At 42.4% G+C, this 20,250-nt stretch overlaps 2 long non-coding RNA genes across 4 annotated transcripts in view, besides 3 other annotated features; one reads left to right on the top strand and one right to left on the bottom strand.

Moving 5' to 3' along the window:
• LINC02609 (long intergenic non-protein coding RNA 2609) overlaps positions 1–1,721 on the bottom strand; it is a 68,667-nt gene extending 66,946 nt beyond the window's left edge. For 2 of the 3 annotated variants that reach the window (NR_147930.1, NR_147931.1), the window contains exon 1: positions 1,554–1,721. This is a non-coding gene — a long non-coding RNA (long intergenic non-protein coding RNA 2609). The remainder of the gene's footprint in view (positions 1–1,553) is intronic. The other variant, NR_135038.1, reaches the window with a different exon arrangement.
• Positions 754–1,254: an enhancer, noted in NCBI's record as "H3K27ac hESC enhancer chr1:91316240-91316740 (GRCh37/hg19 assembly coordinates)". NCBI's record gives its function as "activates a minimal SCP1, AML or CMV promoter by ChIP-STARR-seq in primed H9 embryonic stem cells {active_cell/tissue: H9 hESC(primed)}" and the evidence as "EXISTENCE:reporter gene assay evidence [ECO:0000049][PMID:30033119]".
• Positions 1,038–1,157: a silencer, noted in NCBI's record as "silent region_1062". NCBI's record gives its function as "represses an Ori minimal core promoter by ATAC-STARR-seq in GM12878 lymphoblastoid cells {active_cell/tissue: GM12878}" and the evidence as "EXISTENCE:reporter gene assay evidence [ECO:0000049][PMID:35858748]".
• Positions 1,448–1,847: a silencer, noted in NCBI's record as "silent region_1063". NCBI's record gives its function as "represses an Ori minimal core promoter by ATAC-STARR-seq in GM12878 lymphoblastoid cells {active_cell/tissue: GM12878}" and the evidence as "EXISTENCE:reporter gene assay evidence [ECO:0000049][PMID:35858748]".
• LINC01763 (long intergenic non-protein coding RNA 1763) lies at positions 1,830–4,970 on the top strand. Its single transcript, NR_146610.1, has 2 exons — positions 1,830–2,350; positions 4,299–4,970. It is a non-coding gene; the product is annotated as a long intergenic non-protein coding RNA 1763 (long non-coding RNA).
• Positions 4,971–20,250: the final 15,280 nt, after the last annotated feature.

Here is a 20,250-nt window from a genome sequence, read left to right on the forward strand (position 1 = left end):
AGCAAGGAGAAAATATACATATTTTAGTTACATTTCAACAATTACTTATTAAAGGTCCATAGGGATCATGTTCAATGGCAAAGGGAAGTGGAGGACCTATAATAGATAATGAATAAATACTTATTGAATGGATGGATGGAGGAAAAGAAAACTGTATCTTGGGCCCCATATGGAGTTCACTATAAAATTAATTCCCACAGATTAGCCTCCCAAAGTATTTGGTCCATGTAAATACAACTTCTGGCTATCATATAATATTAAGCCTAAAGCATCTGCTTAAATTTGGACTTGATTTTTCCTATTATTCCAGTTTTAGAAAATGTTTGGTCACATAAATAGAGCTCTCTCACTAACTTACTTGGACTATTTGGTTACATAACATCTCTGTTCCTCAGTTTATGTCAGAATGGAAATAAGACAAAAACCTCCTCCTTCCTATAGGGACTTTTTTGAGTACCTTGATAAATACCTACAAAATGATAAATGCTACTACCTCTTTCAACATTTGCACGATGTTAACTAAACACAAAATATTTTTAGTGTGTGAATTAAAATGCCTCTTTTACTGATGGCTTCAGATGTTTCCTTGTAAGATACCATGTCAAGAACTGGTTTATAAATTATCTGTCCTTCCAGAACGCACTGACATCACGCTTCCTAATAGCTTGGTATGATGACTGCTGTCAAAATCGCCTGCATGGAACCATCCCTGACCTGGACTAACAGCATGTATTAGCGTGACAGAGACTAAAAAGCTAAGAACCGCCGTGCGATGGCCGGCTTTGGGCACCGGGGGTGGGGGCTACGCTACGCGTGAAGGGCCTCAGTCCTCGGGCTTTAGTTCAGGAAGAAAATGAAAGCTGGAGGTCTCGTGGGCGGGACTGGAGGCGGCCAGATAGGCAAGAACCCGCAACAGGAGTAGGGACATTTTTTCTTCAAATTCCAATCCCATCCAGCGATAGACAGGCGCGTGGGTCTCCCTCCTCCACGACCACCACACAATGGCACACACTTTTGCTGGAAACTGAAATCGAAGTCTCTGAGGCAGGCTGGGGCCCAGGCCGGCAGCGGGGAGGGGCAGGGTCCAGCCACCTCGGCGTGGCCTTGGCGAGCGCTCCGGGGTCAGAGGCCGTCGTTCTCGCCGCGCTCCACAGCGCGTCACCCGCTGCCCTAGCGACCCCCGGGCGACCCCGGCATCGCCTGGCTGCGCCGTCCCGGCGGGCCGGCCCTCTCCACGCCCTCTCCTGGGGTTTGCGGTGGGCACAGCTCCCTCCAGACTGGGTCTCTCCACTAGCCTCCTCCCCAACTGCAACGTGGGAACCAGAGCTATCCGAGTCACGAGCCCCAAGTGCACACAAAGCCCCCAACGGGGCCACGGCGCCTCCACGCCTCGCTACCTCCAGCTCCAGGAGCGCAGAACGCAGCGCCCTGGGTCACCGCGTCTGCCCTGCGGAGCAGCCCCACTGAGGGGAAGCCTCGGGCAGGAGGTGAGACCCCGCGCACGCAAGCACCCCCGCCCCAAGCAGGGCCCTCTGCCCGAGGGAGACTCTCACCTCAAATAAACGGGCGCTGCCGCCTCCAGGGGGAGGACAGCGGGCGGAGAATACTCACGCTGGGCCCAGCCGCGCGGGGACTTCGCTGGGAACCACGCGCGGGCTCCCGCCGGGGAGCGGAGCCCCAGCCTGCAGTCCTGCGCCCGCCCCAGCACCGCCTCCTCGGAAGGGAGGCCTCTACCGTCCGGCGGCGGACCTGCAGCCGCCGCGGGAGACGCTGCCCCGCCCCCCGGCCCCGCCCTTCGGCCCATCCCCGCCCCGCTGGCCTCCTTTTCCCCTGCCCCCTCCCTCCGCTCCTCAACGCCCGCCGGGTGCAATCTGCTCTCTCCGGGAGACGAACGCGAAGCGACGTGGAAACCCTTCCACCAAAATGAGCTGTGATATCCTTTTGATGGCTATAATTTATTCCAAATCGTCCCTGGACTGAAACGATCAATTAGCAGCCCGAAACGCACTGTGAAGTAAATTGTCACACTCTCTATTACAGGATGGTTATCATATATTTATAAGGTGTGTTTTCTGCAATCAGAACCAACAAGGTGTTGAGCGATCAGTCATAAACGCACTTCTTCAAAAAGAGAGGGAGAGAAGCTCAGCATTGTGTGGCGGGGGAATAATCCTCATGACAGTTCTCTCCCCACCCAGTGATGTTTTGTCTTGGCACCTGGGAAGTGCAGTGAGGGCTGGAGCTCTGGACGGACTCTCTTCGCCACGCGTGCCCCTGGAAGCAGGGTCCCTGTGAACTACGGAGAGACCCCAGAGGAGAGATTTCCTTATTGTGTAAACACAAATCAGTCGTAAGGGCCGCTCCCTCTGTCTTTCTCTGTCTTCTCTTGTATCCACGAAAATAATATCTTACTCTTTGCTTCTAAGCTTCTAATAGAATGTTTGCATCCTACACTTAATGATAAGTATTTTTTCTTCTTCCTCAGGTCTCAAGGTGTTGACCTCCTCTCTTGTTATTTAATTGATGATGTTCGGTAGAAATTATGTCTGGGTGATATGAAGTTTACCCACAGAGAGAACCCTGCTTTCTGAATTGAAATCCTCAGCAGAACTCTTCCATCATTCATAAATGAGATAGCCCAAAGTTCTAAGAAAGTAATAAGAAAGGGCGATTTAGGCCAGGCGCCGTGGCTCACGCCTGTAATCCCAGCACTTTGGGAGGCCAAGGCGGGCGGATCACTTGAGGTCAGGAGTTCAAGACCAGCCTGGTCAACATGGTGAAACCCCGTCTCTACTAAAAATATAAAAGAGTAGCCGGGCATGGTGGTGCATGCCTGTGATCCCAGATATTCGGGAGGCTGGGGCAGGAGAATCTCTTGAGCGGGGGAGATGGAGGTTGCAGTGAGCTGAGATCATGCCACTGCACTGCACTCCAGCCTGGGTGACAGAGTGAGACTCTGTCTCAAAAAAAAAAAAAAAAAAAAAAATACTGATTCAGCCTGGTAGCTATTTTGACTGGACCAGGCCATGGAGACATTGTTATTTTCCTTCTCAGTGGTCAGGAATATACATCTGGAACTTCTGAGTTTTTCCCCTTACAAACTTTCATCAGATAGTCATCCATGAACCACCTATCAATCATTTTTTAGAAGGGTTCTAGTTTGCATCCAAGTGATATTCCTTTTGCCTGAAAAACATAGCTTTAGAGCCTAGACTACTGGTTATTGATTGTGAAAAAAATTTAGCAGCTAGAATTATGCCTTTGTAGTAATAAAGTGACATTCATGCAGAGTGAATCACAAGGTGTGAAGGTAAGATGCAGAATTTATACCACATTCTTCTTAGGTTAAGTGCCCCCATGACTTTTGCATGGGAGGGCTTATCTGCAATGCCAACCCTTGAAGAATGGGGAGAAAGGAAATCTCGTTGGGTATTTGAGCTGTGGAGGCAGCTGTTGCCATTGGGCTTTCACCCCCATCCTCACAGCATAAATGAAGTACCACATTCCTCTGTCAGAAAGCAATGGGGATAGGGAACCTTGCTTCATCTGAGGACTGGCATAGCAAAGAGCCAGACCCAGCACCTTCACCTTGTGCCTTCCAATATTATTGATTTAATTTGCATTTAACAGCTAATATTTATTGAACATTTACTCCATGCCAGGCACTGAGCTTTAAACTACAGATGCACCTCAATTTATGATGGGATTGTCCTGATAAACCTATTGTAGTTTAAAAATATGTTAAGTTGAAAGTACATTTTTGACTTACAATATTTTCAATTTATGATGGGTTTATTTGAACATAACCCCATCATAAATGAAGGAACTTTTGTACCATCGTAAAGTTGTAAAGTAGAGAAATGCTAAGTCAAACCATTCTAAGTTGGGGACCATCTGTATGTGTATTATCTTATTTAATTATTTCAACAATCTTATTGGAGAAGGTTCTTTATTTTGCCAAAGAGAAAACTGAGACCTGGAAAGATTAAGTAATTTATGCAAGACCACCCTCCTAGTAAGTGATGACTTCAAATCCAAGTCAGTCTCCAATACCCACACTCTTCATCCCAATAATATAATACTTCAGAAATTTGAGATTTTGATTTAAGATTTTTTTCCACCAAAAAGATTTTAGTGGAGCTGATGATACAATGAGAGTGGTAAATTCTGGGAGACGATTGAAAGAACAGCTGTTTGCAATAGAAAGCCACATTGGGTACTTACACAGCCCCTCCCCACCTTGGTAGATTACCTCTTCTTTGTTCTATCCTTCCTACCCTTCGTGATTTCTTTTTCAGAGTTACACCTGCCATCTAGCAAAACAGACCTCACCCAAGGTCAATGATGGCTGCTAACCTTGGGGTTGATGGGGGAAGGTGGATGCAGCAGACCCCAGGGAAAACAGAGCACCGTGAGGAGGAGCCAGAGGAGGCCGGAGGCCCTTGTCTCAGACATCCAGCTCTGAGAGTGAAATGTTGCTTCCTAATGGACTTTAAATTACCAACATCGCTAAACTCTCTCTTAATAGACTTGTAAAGATTTGCTTGCTACCTTTTTCCTCCTTCATGTAGAATTTGTAATCAAGAGCCCAATTTTGTCATTTGGAAATACTAATTATCTAATCACGGCATGCTGTATAACGTACTTGTCTGCCCAATTAGCTAGGACAATTATTAAAATTCAGAGGCCTAATTATGTCTCAATTTAATGCTGGCAAACTTGCATACAGAGCAGTAATTAAAATCCTCTCTTTCCCTCTGCCTTTAGGGCAGGGGATGATTAGGCCCTGTCAGGGGGTGTACTGAACCAAACCAGTGAAGCGTATTGTGCAACATGACCCTGCATTGTTAAGTGTGTCAACATATTAACCTGAATTCCCTTCAGCCCCCACATAATCACATTTGGTGGAAGAATGAAGGAGCTAAAACATGAAGCATTTTTTTAAAAAAACATAAATTCATTTTAATTAATGCTGTGAGAGTTCTGGTGAATTTCACGTTTCCAAGTGCTGGAAGACGTAAGACTGGTTCATCTAATTACTAGCAAATTTGTTCTTGTAAAAACTACTTTTTTTACTCATTTAAATAAAATAATTTTTGGGGGTAGCATTAAAAAAAAAAAGCCCTAGTTAGCTTCCAGTAATACAGTTGATTACCAGCTTTGATGATGGAACACAAGTGAATGTTGACTTCCAAAAGATTCAAACCCAAGACTGGAGGCATTGAGGGGAAAAAATACTACAATTTAATACTTGAAAGATGTTAATAAAAGTCGAACATTACAAATCATAATATTGAAATAAATTCAAAATATTTATCTTTTGAGCTCTTAAGTTTGATGTCTGAAATTGAACCAGGGTGAGAAGACCAGAGCATTGCACAAATTCATGATGCTTTGCAAGCTCCAGATGGTGTGTGTCCACCTTGCCAGCATCTAAACCACCTTCTCTATGGAGTAAGGAGAGCCACAAAACCCATTAAGACTCCTGAGCTGTCCTCTAAGTTCTGGCTTTCACTCATGATGGTCTTTAGAGATTATTCATATATTCAGCTAAGGAAGGACAACATTTAGTCTAGACCAAAAATGAATTATTCTGGAGCAGAACTTCTTTCAATTGCTTCCCAACTTCTTGCTGTATGGATAGCTTCCACAGAGTAAGAGACACACAAATACACACTCATGCACACTCGCACAGTCCCTTACTTGGACAGAGCTTACTCTCATCTCAATTGATCTCTTTTTCTTTTATTTTTTTAGATGGAGTTTTGCTCTAGTTGCCCAGGCTGGAGTGCAGTGGTGTGATCTCGGCTCACTGCAACCTCCACCTCCTGGATTCAGGTGATTCTCCTGCCTCAGCCTCCCAAGTAGCTGGGATTACAGGTGCCCACCGCCACACCCGGCTAATTTTTTATATTTTTTGTAGAGACCCCGTTTCACCATGTTGGCCAAGCTGGTCTCAACCTCCTGACCTCAGGTGATCTGCCTGCCTGGGCCCCACAAAGTGCTGGGATTACAGGTGTGAGCCACCACGCCCTGCCAATTGATCTCATTTTTAATCTCATGATCACCTTGTAACACATGTAAGGCAAGCATGTCTCCATGTTAATATGGGGCAGTTAATATACTTGCCCGAGCTCACCACTCCATACTCTTACTTCTTGGTTGTAGGCAGGGTAAGACTAGACTCCGTTCCCCTTGCTGCCCACTGCATCAGACAGTTAGCTGTGGATCAGTCACCAATCAGGGAGGCTTAGTTTGGTTAAATATGTCATGTTGAGATCGAAGTATAGATAATGTTATAAACAATGAGACAACAAGGGGACAGCCTATGTACCAACACCAGAGGACCTCCTGTCCTCAGTCAATACTTACTTGCAACATGTTTAGCCATATTTGTTTAGATTTGATGCCTCTGGCCCATTTTCTTCCTCTTTAAGCTTTTATATTTCTCAAGTTTTATATAGTTTCATCTGGGCCAGTGATAGTAAAATTTGGGTTCCTTCCTCCTAATCTTGCTGTGGTACAATGTGGTGTGTTTAGGGACAATTCTGGCTGGTATATGCTCTCTTACTAACAAAGGCAGTGACTACAGCTATCTCTATAAGAGATGGTTGGCTGGAGCCAGGACAGGCCCTTAGGCACTTGTGCTACAAAACCCGGGGGTGGTAGTCCTCCCTCCACACCCGCCACTACCCCCCACCCCCACCTCCCAGGGAGTATGCCCTGTGTCTTGAAAATGGCCTTGCTCTGAGCCTCTTTGGATGGCAAACTGAAGTGCAAATCTGTGTTCTGACTTGTTCCCGTGGCTGTCAGCATGTTTTCCTCTTGTCAGCAGCAATTGACTGGTCAGGCTCACCCCTGTACAGCAATTGTAACAGCTCATTGACAGACTAGTGACCCAGCTGGACCTGATAATGGAAAACTATTGATTTTTGTGGGCTCCACGAATCTAAAATGAACGACCGATGTAATGTCATCAATTGTCTCGGACTCTGATAACCCAGGGGGAAAAAGTTTCAGGGATTGCTTGTATTTCCTGACAATAGTGTTCCAAAATCTCACTGAGCATATGTAAGAAGAAGCCCATTTCTTAGATGGGCTTTAAATGACCCCGATTAGTCCATCAGGGTTTCAACGCCGAGGCTTGCATGTTAAATGAAGTGGAAATTAGGATTATCAATTAGCAGAACTGAGACATAACGTACAATTTAGGAAAGATATTTGTGGAGAAGCACTTTGAGAGGAAAATGTTTAAAATGTTTATTATAAAACAAGCTCACAGGAAAAAAAAAAGAAGAAGCTGGGAGGAAACCAAAATATATAGGCTCTCCAAGAGCCTTGATGTATGAAATTGTGATAGAACTATGAGGCTGCTTTGGCTTGCCTGTGTTGATTTATTGGTAGTAGAAAGAAAGGCTTGAAAATAATGTAGAGATGCCTTAAACATGTGTTGCAGGAAATAGCTATTTAGTTTTGTTTTTTAAACAATTTTCTCCTTACTTGATCATTTAAAAATCCTCAAACATTGCTTAGTGTGTTTTTTAGAAACAACAGCATTTTTTTCTTGAGCCAAATTAGCAATGGGTTGGAGCTAATTTTGCCCAGTGGACAGGTCTAGAAAATTCTGTACTCTATGCTGAATTCTGATAGATAGGATTTCCCTTAATGGCCTCTGCCAAAGGGAACTTGATTAAAAAAAAAAAAAAAAAAAGGCAAGGCTATTGATCTTGGCTGCCAAACTGATACATTTAGTTCACAATCCACTTGTAGTGAGGACATAATCATCTTATGGTCCTGATCAAATTCAGACATTCTTAGAACACAGTTCTGAAGGCTAGACAAATCAGAGAACACAGAAATAACAGGGGTGCTTCCCCATCCATTTTATTTGCTCAAAGAGGGCTAGAAATCTCAGTAAGGGTCCAGAAAGAACAGGCCCCAGAGGAGATGAATCTATGTGTGGCTGGACTCCTGTTCACAGGATGCTGCCATCTTCACACTCTCCTGTCATGGTCCTTCTCTGGCCTTTGATTAGCATCGCCCCTTACAACACTACACCTCTGGTTTTCTAGCACTATCAAAACCAGCTTTGCCAATTGTTTGGCTGGCTACCTATTAGTAAAGACACACAAGGTTGAGGTTGAGACCTGAAAGAAAATTAGGCTAGGCAAAAAAAATTGGTATTTGGACTTTAATAAATAAAAAAGGCTTGATGCAGAGAACACAAAATTTGCCTGATGCTGTGTGATGTGTCTTATGGCCCAGCCAAGGCATCAACAGGTCAAAGGTCAGGAGTGAGGTCTTATATGTTTTGGAATTCTCTACAGTGGTTTTCATCAGGCCTTGCATGTCACAAATATATAAATAATCATTGAATAAAGGAGCAAAAAGGCTATTTTTAAGTATAGAAAGATGAAGGTAACATTTTCCAGTGTATAATAGATTTGGGAGAAAATATTTGCAATCAGGGTTTTCCATGTGCAGGCTCATGCCAGTCCATGAAGGAGTTCACCTGTCTGTGGTAAATATAAATAAATGAACAAAGGGAAGTTAACAGGATTTTATAAAGCAAAATTTAATCTTTTTAAAAGTCCGAGATTGGCTGAGCACGGTGGCTCATGCCTGTAATCCCAGCACTTTGGGAGGCCGAGGCGGGCAGGTCACCTGAGGTCATAAGTTGAAAACCAGCCTGGCCAACATGGTGAAACCCTGTCTCTACTAAAAATACAAAAATTAGCCGGCCGTGGTGGCATGTGCCTGTAATCCCAGCTACTCAGGAGGCTGAGGCCGGAGAATCACTTGAATCCGGGAGGCGGAGGTTGCAGTGAGCCAAAATCGTGCCACTGTACTCCAGCTTGGGTGACAAGAGCAAAACTCTGTCTCAAAAAAAAAAAAAAAATTCCAAGATTATAGTCTTTTGAGATGTTAAACATTTTCTTTTATAAATAATGATTATAATAAATTAATAGCTTTACTTGGCAAGGCAAGATTAAAAGTTGGCAAAAATCATACACTGGTCCAATACCTTAAAAATTACTTTTCTGTAGAAGCCAAAGAATGGGTGCACTAATCTAAATACCTATTGTGCCTCTTATTAATATTAAGGCAATCCCATATGACTGTCAACAAATAGAAATATTCATGATTAAGGCACAGCATTAGATGTGATAGGTGTAACAGCACTGGCCTAAGGTCTAGTCATTTGGAGCTTCTTTTAGGTTTTTGGTCTGTATTCTATCTTTACAAATTATTAAATTATTAAAAAATTTTAATTTTTAAACCCAAATCTGTGATTTGATTGAAATGCTGAAAGATGCGATATTAGTCACCATACTTTTAACTTCAAGATACTCTTTTCTGATAACACAATTCCTATCTTCTGCCCTATGCAATGTCAGGTCTGTTCCCAGCAGCAGTTCCACAGTAATGATGCCACTTGGAAGAGAAAACAATTTTGTTTCTTTGGGTTTTAATTTGATGTGTAAAGTCAAAATTTTAACTCAGAGTATGTGTTTTGCTGTGCTTTGTAACTTGCACTAAAGATTTAAATGTATTAAACACATTCCTTGCAATAACTAATCATAAAATTACAGTATTTATTAATAGAAGATTAATAACTCTGGACCCAGTTTCACCTCCACATTTAACATCTTCCTCTTGTATCTTTTGGAATGCTTTCAGCTGCAGGTAAAAGAGGAATGCTTTGTGTTACTTCACAAAGCAGGTCAGAGATCTTGTGGTTCTAGGATTGATTGATGCAGTATCTCAGCAACATAATCGAGGACCCAGGTTTTTTCCATATTTTTCACTGGCTATCTCAGCATGTTCACTTGTCCTGTTATACTCTCTTCCATCATGGAGAGCAATATGACCACACAGTTCCTGGTGTTCAATGTAGATAGTAATACTTAGCAGCAGGAAAAGGGGACATTCCTCTGTTGTGTCCCTTTTTAAGACTTAAGGAACACTTCCCCAAAAGCCCATTTTCTCACTTTCCCTCAAGCTTCATCCAGAGTTGTGTTATCAGCCTGTTTGTAAACCGTTTGCTGGCTAAAGGAATAGATTAATCATTACTGGATTCTTAATCTATATCCATCCTCTGGGGCTGGAGAAGAGCACAGCATCCCCTAACGTACATCACACCTGAAAATAAGTCACCTGAAAAGAAAATTAAGTTTCTGTTTACAAGGAAAAAAAAAGGGACACATCAACTTAGAATAACTGTTTCGATGACACTCCCTCTTAGAAGACAGCCATCATGTAAGAAATTCAGATGCCCTGAGGACACCATACTACGAAGAAACCTGACCCAGCCATTTGGAGAAACACAGAGGCACCAGTCAAGTGAGTGAGAATTTTTTGGACCTTCTAGCTCAGTTTAAGATGAATACAGCCAAGTGAATAATCCAGAACTGCCCAGCCAAGTCCTGCTCAAATTCTTGACCCAAAGAGATAAAATAGTTGTTAGTTTAAGCCTCTAAGATTTGAGGTAGTTTATTGTATAGCAATAGGTAACAAAACATCCAACAATGTGGTATCTAGAAGAGAGACAGTTTAAATATAGAGGTACTAAGAGGTTGAAATTAAAATGGAAAAAATATACTATACAAACAGTAAGCATATAAAAGATGGAATTACTATATTAACATCAGACCAAAGTAGGCTTCAAGACAAGCAATGTTGCCAGAGAAAATGGGTAATGTTTCATAATAATAAAATTATAAGTGTATGTATCTAAATCAGAGATTCAAAATACATTGTGTAAGAATTGTCAGAACTAAACAGAAATAGATCATTCAGAATTATAATTAGAGATTTAAGGCCTCCCAACAACTGTAGCCCCTCCCCACGCCCATGATTAAGAATACAGAAAAGCTTAACAACACAATCAACTATCTTGATATAATTGATATTTGTATAACACTATGTATTAGTCCATTTTCACACTGCTGATAAAGATATACCTGTGACTGGGAAGAAAAAGAGGTTTCATTGGACTTACAGTTCCACATGGCTGGGGAGGCCTCAGAATCATGGCGGGAGGTGAAAGGTACTTCTTACATGGTGGCAGCAAGAGAAAATGAGGAAGAAGCAAAAGCAGAAACCGCTAATAAATCCATCAGATCTCGTGAGACTTATTCACTATCATGAGAATAGCAGAGGAAAGATGGGCCCCCATGATTCAATTACCTCTCCCTGGGTCCCTCCCACAACACATGGTAATTCTGGGAGATACAATTCAAGTTGAGATTTGGTTGGGACACAGCCAAACCATATCATTCCACCCTTGCCCCTCCAAATCTCATGTCATCGCATTTCAAAACCAATTACGCCATCCCAATAGTCCCCCAAAGTCTTAACTCATTTCAGCATTAACCCAAAGGTCCACAGTCCAAAGTCTCATCTGAGACAAGGCAAGTCTTCTGCCTTTGAGCCTGTAAAATCAAAAGCAAGCTAGTTACTTCCTAGATACAATGTGGGTACAGGTATTGAGTAAATACACCTGTTCCAAATGGGAGAAATTGGCCAAAACAAAGGGATTACATGGCCTATGCGAGTCTGAAATCCAGCGGGGCAGTCAAATTTTAAAGCTCCAAAATGATCTCCTTTGACTCCAGGTCTCACATCCAGGTCATTCTGATGCAAGAAGTGAGTTCCCATGGTCTTGGGCAACTCTGTCCCTGTGACTTTGCAGGGTACAACCTCCTCCTGGCTGCTTTCATGGGCTGGCATTGGGTGTCTGTGGCTTTTCCAAGTGGACGGTGCAAGTTGTCAGTGGATCTACCATTCTGGGGTCTGGAGGATGGTGGCCTTCTCACAGCTTCACTAGGCAGTGCCCCAGTAGGGACTCTGTGTGGAGGCTCCAACCCCACATTTCCCTTCTGCACTATCCTTGCAGAGGTTCTCCATGAGGGCCCCACCCCTGCAACAAACTTTTGCCTGGGCATCCAGGAGTTTCCATACATCTCCAAAATCTAGGCGGAGGTTCCCAAACCTCAATTCTTGACTTCTGTGCACCTGCAGGCTCAATACCGCATGGAAGCTGCCAAGGCTTAAGGCTTCCATCCACTGAAGCCACAGCCCGAGCTCTGTATGTTGGCCCCTTTCAGCCATGGCTGGAGTGGCTGGGACACAGGGCACCAAGTCCCTAAGCTGCACACAGCACAGGGACCCTGGGCCCAGCCCATGAAACCGCTTTTTCCTCCTGGGCCACCAGGCCTGTAATGAGAGGGGCTGCTGGGAAGGTTTCTGACATGGCCTGGAGACATTTTCCACACATCTTGGGGATTAACATTAGGCTTCTTGCTACTTATGCAAATTTCTGCTGCTGGCTTAAATTTATCCTCAAAAAATGGGTTTTTCTTTTCTACTGCATTGTCAGGCTGCAAATTTTCTGAACTTTTATGCTCTGTTTCCCTTTTAAAATGGAAGGCTTTTAACAGCACCCAAGTCACCTCTTGAATACTTTGCTGCTTAGAAATTTCTTCCACCAGATACCTTAAATCATCTCTCTCAAGTTCAAAGTTCCATAGATCTCTAGGGCAGGGGCAAAATGCCACCAGTCTCTTTGCTAAAACATAACAAGAGTCACCTTTGCTCCAGTTCCCATCAAGTTCCTCATTTCCATCTGAGACCACCTCAGCTTGAATTTTATTGTGCATGTCGCTATCAGCATTTTGGGCAAAGCCATTCAACAAGTCTCTAGGAAGTTCCAAACTTTCCCACATTTTTCTTTTTTCTTCTGAGCCCTCCAAACTGTTCCAACCTCTGCCTATTACCCAGCTCCAAAGTCGCTTCCACATTTTTGGGTATCTTTTCAGCAATGCCCCACTCTACTGGTACCAATTTACTGTATTAGTTTGTTTTCACACTGCTAATAAAGGTATACCCATGACTGGAAAGAAAAAGAGGTTTAATTGAACTTACAGTTCCACATGGCTGGGGAGGCCTTAGAATTGTGGCAGGAGGTGAAAGGTACTTCTTACATAGCGGTGGCAAGAGAATGAGGAAGAAGCAAAAGCGAAACCCCTGATAAACCCATCAGCTCTCATGAGACTTACTCACTATCACGAGAACAGCATAGGAAAGACAGGCTCTCATGATTCAGTTACCTCCCCTTGGGTCCCTCCCATAACACATGATAATTCTGGGAGACACAATTCAAGTTGAGATTTTGGTGGGGACATAGCCAAACCATATCACACTACATCCAACAATATAATATACATTATTTTCAAGGGCACATAAATTGTTCACCAAGATAGACTATATGTTGGGCCACAAAATATGTTTCAATAAATTTGAATAGACTGAAATTACACAAAGTAAGTTTTCTGACCCCAAGAGAATGAAATAAGAAATGAATAACAGTAAGATAATTTTAAAATTCCCCCCAAATCTTTGGAAATTAAATAACATACTTCTATTAATCTATGGGTCAAAGAAGAAATCATAAGGAAAATTAAAAATATTTTGAACCAAATGATTATTTATTTATTATTATTATTATTTTTTGAGATGGAGTCTTGCTCTTGTTACCCAGGCTGGAGTACAGTGGCTGTATCTTGGCTCACTGCAACCTCTGCCTCCTGGGTTCAAGCGATTCTCCTGCCTCAGCCTCCCCAGTAGCTGGGATTACAGGCACCCACCACCACACTGGGCTAATTTTTTCATTTTTAGTAGAGACAGGGTTTCACCATGTTCTCCAGGCTGGTTTCAGACTCCTGACCTCAGGTGATCCACCCACCTTGGCCTCCCAAAGTGCTGGGATTTCAGGTGTGAGCCACTGTGCCCAGCCAATAATTTCAAAAAGATCGAAAATCAATTATCTAAGTTTCCCCATTAAGAAACTGGGAAAAAGCCTGGGCACAGTGGCTCATGCCTGTAACCCCAGCACTTTGGGAGGCCGAGGTGGGTGGATTGCCTGAGCTCAGGAGTTCGAAACCAGCCTGGGCAACATGGCAAAACCCCCTGTCTCTACTAAAATATAAAGAAAAAAATTAGCCAGGCATGGCAGCATGAGCTTGTAATCCCAGCTACTCCAGAGGCTAAGGCAGGAGAATCGCTTGAACCAGGGGGTCGGAAGTTGCAGTGAGCCAAGATACCGCCACTGCACTCCAGCCTGGTGACAGAGCTAGACTCTGTCTAAAAAAAAAATAACAAAAAAAAAAAAACAAAAGCAAGAAAGAAACTGGGGAAAAATTAGCAAATTAAATCTATAGTAAGTAGTTTCATTTAGGAAATAATGAAGAAAGCAAAGACAAAAGCAGAAGTCAATAACATAGAAAAATAAAACAATAGAGGAAATTAACAAAGCCAAAATTTGGTTCTTTGAAAAGATTTTGAAAAACCGATAATCCTCTAGCTAAACTTACCAATAAAAAAGAGAAAACACAAACTAAAAATACCAGAAATGAAAGAGGGGAATCACCACAGATCCTACAACCATCAAAAGGACAATAAGGAAATATATGAGCAACCCTTATGCCTTTATACAGCTGACCCTTGAACAAGGATATCTTCATCTTTTTTGAACAACACGATTTCTTCATCTTTTGTCCCCCTTTTCTTCCTCCTCCTCCTCCACCTTCTTTCTTCTTCTTCTTCTATTATTATTATTATTATTATTATTATTATTATTATTATTATTATTATTTTGGTAGAGACACGGTCTCCCTATGTTGCCCTGACTAGTCTCAAACTCTTGGGGTCAACTGATCTTGCCTCAGTCTCTCTGAGTGCTAGGATTATAGGCGTAAGCCACTGATATGAGCCACAAATTTCTTTAAAAAGCAAAACTTGTCAGTGGGACATGTTGGCTCACACCTGTAATTCTAGCACTTTGGGAGGCTGAGGCCAGGAGACATCTCTTGAGGCCAGAAGTTCGAGACCAGCCTGGGCAACATAGCAAGACCCCATCTGTATGAAAAATTTAACAATTACCTAGGCATGGTGGCACATGCCTGAAGTTCTAGCTACTCTGGTGGCTGAGGTGGAAAGATTGCATGAGCCCAGGAGTTCAAGGCTGCAGTGAGCTATGATTGTGCCACTGCATTCTCGCCTGGGCAACAGAGCAAGACCCTGTCTCTAAATCAACAACAACAACAAACCTCCTAAAACCTCATCAAAACTGCCATATAAGTAAATAGAAAAATTGAATAGCCCTATATCTATCCAAGAAGTTAAATCCATTATTAGAACAATAACAACAAAACTCCAGGCCCAGTTAGTGCCACTGGCGAGTTCCATAAAATCTTAAGAGTAGTAATGACATCAGCCTTAAAATAGGGGAGAAGAGGCCAGGCACGATGGCTCATGCCTCTAATCCCAGCACTTTGGGATGCCCAGGCGGGCGGATCACTGGAGGTCGAGAGTTCAAGACCAGCTTGGCCAACATGGCGAAATCCTGTCTCTATCAAAAATACAAAAATTAGCCAGTCCTGCTGGCAGGTGCCTGTAGTCCCAGCTACTCAGGAGGCTGAGGTATGAGAATTGCTTGAGCCCAAGAGGCAGAGGTTGCAGTGAGCCAAGTTCACGCCACTGCACTCCAGCCTGGGCAATAGAGCGAGACTCTGTCTCAAAAAAAAAAAAAAAAGGGAGAAACCATTTCCATGTTTCTCTGATGAAACCAGCATAACCTTGATACAAAAGCTTTAAAAGACAATACAAAGACATAAAATATAAACCATATATCACCTATGAACCTAGATGCAAAACTCACTAAAAATATTAACAAACTAAATCTAGCAATATATAAAAAGGATGTATATAATAATCAAGTGTAGTTTATATGAGAAATTCAAGTTAGTCTCTGTCATTTAAAAATCAATGAAATTCAACATATTAATAAAGGAGAAAAATCATTTGAACATCTCAATAAATACAGAAAAAGCATTTAATAATTTTTTTTTTTTTGAGACAGACTCTCGGTCTGTCGCCCAGGCTGGAGTGCAGTGGCGCAATCTCAGCTTACTGCAACTTCCGCCTGCTAGGCTCAAGCAGTTCTCCTGCCTCAGCCTCCAAGTAGCTAGGGCTACAGGTGCCCGCCACCAGGACCAGCAAATTTTTGTATTTTTAGTAGAGACGGGGTTTCGCCATGTTGGCTAGGCCGATCTCAAACTCCTGATCTCAGGTGATCCACCCACCTCAGCCTCCCAAAGTGCTGGGGTTATAGGCATGAGCCACTACGCTCAGCTACATTTGATAAAATTTAACACCCATTAATAATAAAAATTTTCAGCAAACTAGAGCTATGGCCTCTATGAAAAACAAACAACTAAACATTATGTACAATGGTAATATGTTGAATGCTTTCTTCTTAAGGTTGGGAATAAGGCCTGATTCCACTTTTCTTTTCTTTCTTTTTTTTTTTTTTTTCCGAGACAGAGTTTCGCTCTGTCACCCAGGCTGGAGTGCAGTGGTGCAATCTTGGCTCACTGCAACCTCCGCCTGCCAGGTTCAAGCGATTCTCCTACCTCAGCCTCGCGAGTAGCTGGGATTACAGGCACCTGCCACCACGCCTGGCTAATTTTTTGTATTTTTAGTATAGATGGGGTTTCACTATGTTGGCCAGGCTGGTCTCGAACACCTGACCTGGTGATCCACCCACCTCGGCCTCCCAAAGTGCTGGGATTACAGGCATGAGCCACTGTGCCTGGCCCACTTTTCTTTTAACATTGTAATGGAGTTTCTAGCCAAGGCAATAAAACAAGAAATAACAAGGCATAAAGATTTGAAAGAAAGAAATATACAAATCTTTATCCCTATTTGTAGATGAATTTAATTAATTAAAATGTTAATTTAACAAGTTACAAAGATATAACATCAAAATATAAAAGTCAGTTTTATTTTACATACTAGCAGCAGTTACAAAATGAAGTACAAAAAACCAGTTCACTTTACAATACCATCAAATAACATAGACCCCTTAGTAAAAAAATTAACAAAATAAATGTGAGACCTCTGCCTACATTAAAAACTACTAAACATGCCTGAGGGAAATTAAGTAAGATCCAGATAAATAAAGAGGCATTCCACATTTATGGATTGGAAAACTCAATGTTTTTAAGATGTCAGTTCTCTCAAAATTGACCAGTAGTTTCAATGCAATCCCAATCATCATCACAACAGACTTTTAAAATAAAAATTGACAAGCTGATCCTAAAAGTTATAGGAAAATGCAAAGGACCTAATGGAGTCGAAACAATTTCAAAGAACAAAACTGGAAGAATTAAATTACCTGACTTTGTGACTCACTACAAAGCTACATTTATCAAAGGCAGTACAATATTGCCATAAGCATGTAAAGTTGAACTGAATGGAAAGTATGTATATGTGTGTGTGTGCATGTATATATATATATATATACACATGCAAACATATATACACATTTTTTTATTTTCTTTGAGGCGGCGTTTCATTCTTGTTGCCCAGGCTGGAGTGCAGTAGCGCGATCTCGGCTCACTGCAACCTCTGCCTCCCAGGTTCAAATGATTCTCCTGCCTCAGCCTCCCAAGTAACTGGGATTACAGGTGCCTGCCACCATGCCCAGCTAATTTTTGTATTTTTAGTAGAGACGGGTTTCACCATGTTGGCCAGACTGGTCCCGAACTCCTGACCTCAGGTGATCCACCCGCCTCGGCCTCCCAAAGTGCTGGGACTACAGGAGTGAGCCACTGCACCCAGCATATACATATTAGATTTTCAAACAAAGGTCCCAAGTAAATGGAGAAAGATAAACATGTCAATAAATTAGTTTCTTGGAGGAAAAGTTGATTCCAGTGCTGGAGCAGGAATAGTAAAAGGAGCTCGTGGTGGTTCAATCTCAGTGTGTTCCAGGGGAGAGGTGGGGGTTATTGTCTCTTCCAGGGGCTGTGCCATACTCTGCCTCCTGGAGCATCAAAGCATCTCTGCTCTTTTCCCCAAGGCCCTCAGAGTCTCTTGAGAATACAACCTGGGTAGAGGTGAGGCTTTCTCTGTAGAATCCAGGCATGAACCAACCAAATGCCCATCAGCGATAGACTGGATAAAGAAAATGTGCTATATATACATATATACTATGCAGCCATAAAAATGAATAAGATCATGTCCTTTGCAGGGACATGGATGAAGCGGGAAGCCATCATCCTCAGCAATCTAACAAAGGAACAGAAAACGAAACACCACATGTTCTCATTCATAAGTGGGAGCTGAACAATGAGAACACATGGACACAGGGAGGGGAACAACACACACCAGGGCCTGTTGGGGGCTGGGGGTTGAGGGGAGGGAGAACATTAGGACAAATACCTAATAATGCACATGGGGCTTAAAACCTAGATGACAGGTTGATAGGTTCAGCAAACCACCATGGCACATGTATACCTATGTAACAAACCTACACATTCTGCACATGTATCCCAGAACTTAAAATAAAATATTAAAAAACTAAAAAAAAAAAAAGAATCCAGGCATGAATCATATGACATTCTGACAGACCATGACAAACCCTCTAGTCGCCTCCTAAACTCTCCCTTACCACCTTCATGCTCCTTTTGCATCAATTTTTTTTTTAAGTGTGGAAAAACCAGGTGTGGTGGTACATACCTGTAGTCCCAGCTACTCAGGAGACTGAGGAAAGAGTATTGTTTGAGCCCAGGAGTTCAAGGCCAGCCCAGGCAACATACTGAGGCCCCATTTCAAAAAATATTGATAGCATAAAATACACCATCATAACCATTTTTAAGTATACAGTTTAGTGGCGTTAAGTACATTCACATTTTGCAACCATGATCACTATCCATTTCCAGAACTCTTTTCATCTTGCTTCAGTAAAACTCTGCACCTATTAAACACTAATTCCTCTTGTCCTCCAACTCTCATCCCTGGGCAACTACCATTCTACTTTCTGTCTCTATGAATCTAACTACTCTGGGTATTTCATACAAGTGGAATCATACAGCATTTGTCCCTTGATTTATTTCATTCAGCATAATGTCCTTAAAGGGTTCATTCGTGTTGTAGCATGTGTCAGAATTTCCTTCCTTTGAAGGCTGAATAATATTCCATTGTATGGATATACCACATTTTATTCATTCATTCATTCACTGATGGACACTTGGGTTGTTTTCACCTTTTGGCTATTGTGAATAATGCTGCCATGAACCGGAGTGTACAAGTATCTCTTTGACACTGTGCTTTTAATTATTTTGAGTATATGCATAGAAATGGAACTGCTGGATAGTATAGTAGTTATATTTTTAGTTTTTTGAGGAACTGCCATATTGTTTTCCATAGTATTTTACATTCCCACCAACAGTGCTCAAACGGTCAAATTTCTCTATATCCTCACCAACACAATATTTTCTGTTTTTTTGTTTGTTTTTGTTTTTGGTAATAGCCAGCCTAATGGGTGTGAGGTGGCATCTGACTGTGGTTTTGATTTGCATTTCCCTAATGATTAGTGACAGTGAGTATATTTTCACTTGTTTGTTGGCCATTTGTAAACCTCCTTTGGAGAAATTTCTGTTCAAGTCCTTTGCCCATTTTTTAATGAGATTTTTTTTTTCTTTTTTTTTGAGATGGAGTCTTGCTCTGTCACCCAGGCTGGAGTGCAGTGGTGCAATCTCGGCTCACTGCAACCTCCATCTACCGGGTTCAAGTGATTCTCCTGCCTCAGACTCCCGAGTAGCTGGGATTACAGGGACCCGCCACCATACCTGGCCAATTTTTTGTATTTTTAGTAGAGATGGGGTTTCACCATGTTGGCCAGGCTGGTCTTGAACTCCTGGTCTCAAGTGATCCCCCCGCCTCGGCCTCCAAAAGTGCTGGGATTACAAGAGTGAGCCACTGCGCCTGGCTTTGTTTGGGTGTTTGCATCGCTTTTTTTATTATTTCAGTTTAGTTTTATATATTTTGATATTACACAAGTGAATGCATAAATACATCCTCATTATACAAATTTGAACAATAAGAATGTATGTAGGTAAAAGCAAAGTATCCCATTCATGTCCTCTGCCCCTAGCATGTCCACCTCTTTTTCCTCATTGCTCTGTAAGTTTGATTAAGTATATGGCTGCTGGTTGTTGAAATTCCAACTCTGCTGTTTATTCACTAGCTGTGAGATCTCAGGCACTTACTTAACCTCTCCTCATTAGTACCTACCTCACTGAATTGTAGGGACAGGAATAGTAGCTACCTTAGTGAGCTGTTATGATAATTAAATGAGTTAATTCCTGTAAAGAGATGAGAACAGTGCCAGGTGCATTGTTA

This window comes from Homo sapiens, chromosome 1, assembly GCF_000001405.40.
Source record: "Homo sapiens chromosome 1, GRCh38.p14 Primary Assembly".
Classification (NCBI taxonomy): domain Eukaryota; kingdom Metazoa; phylum Chordata; class Mammalia; order Primates; family Hominidae; genus Homo; species Homo sapiens.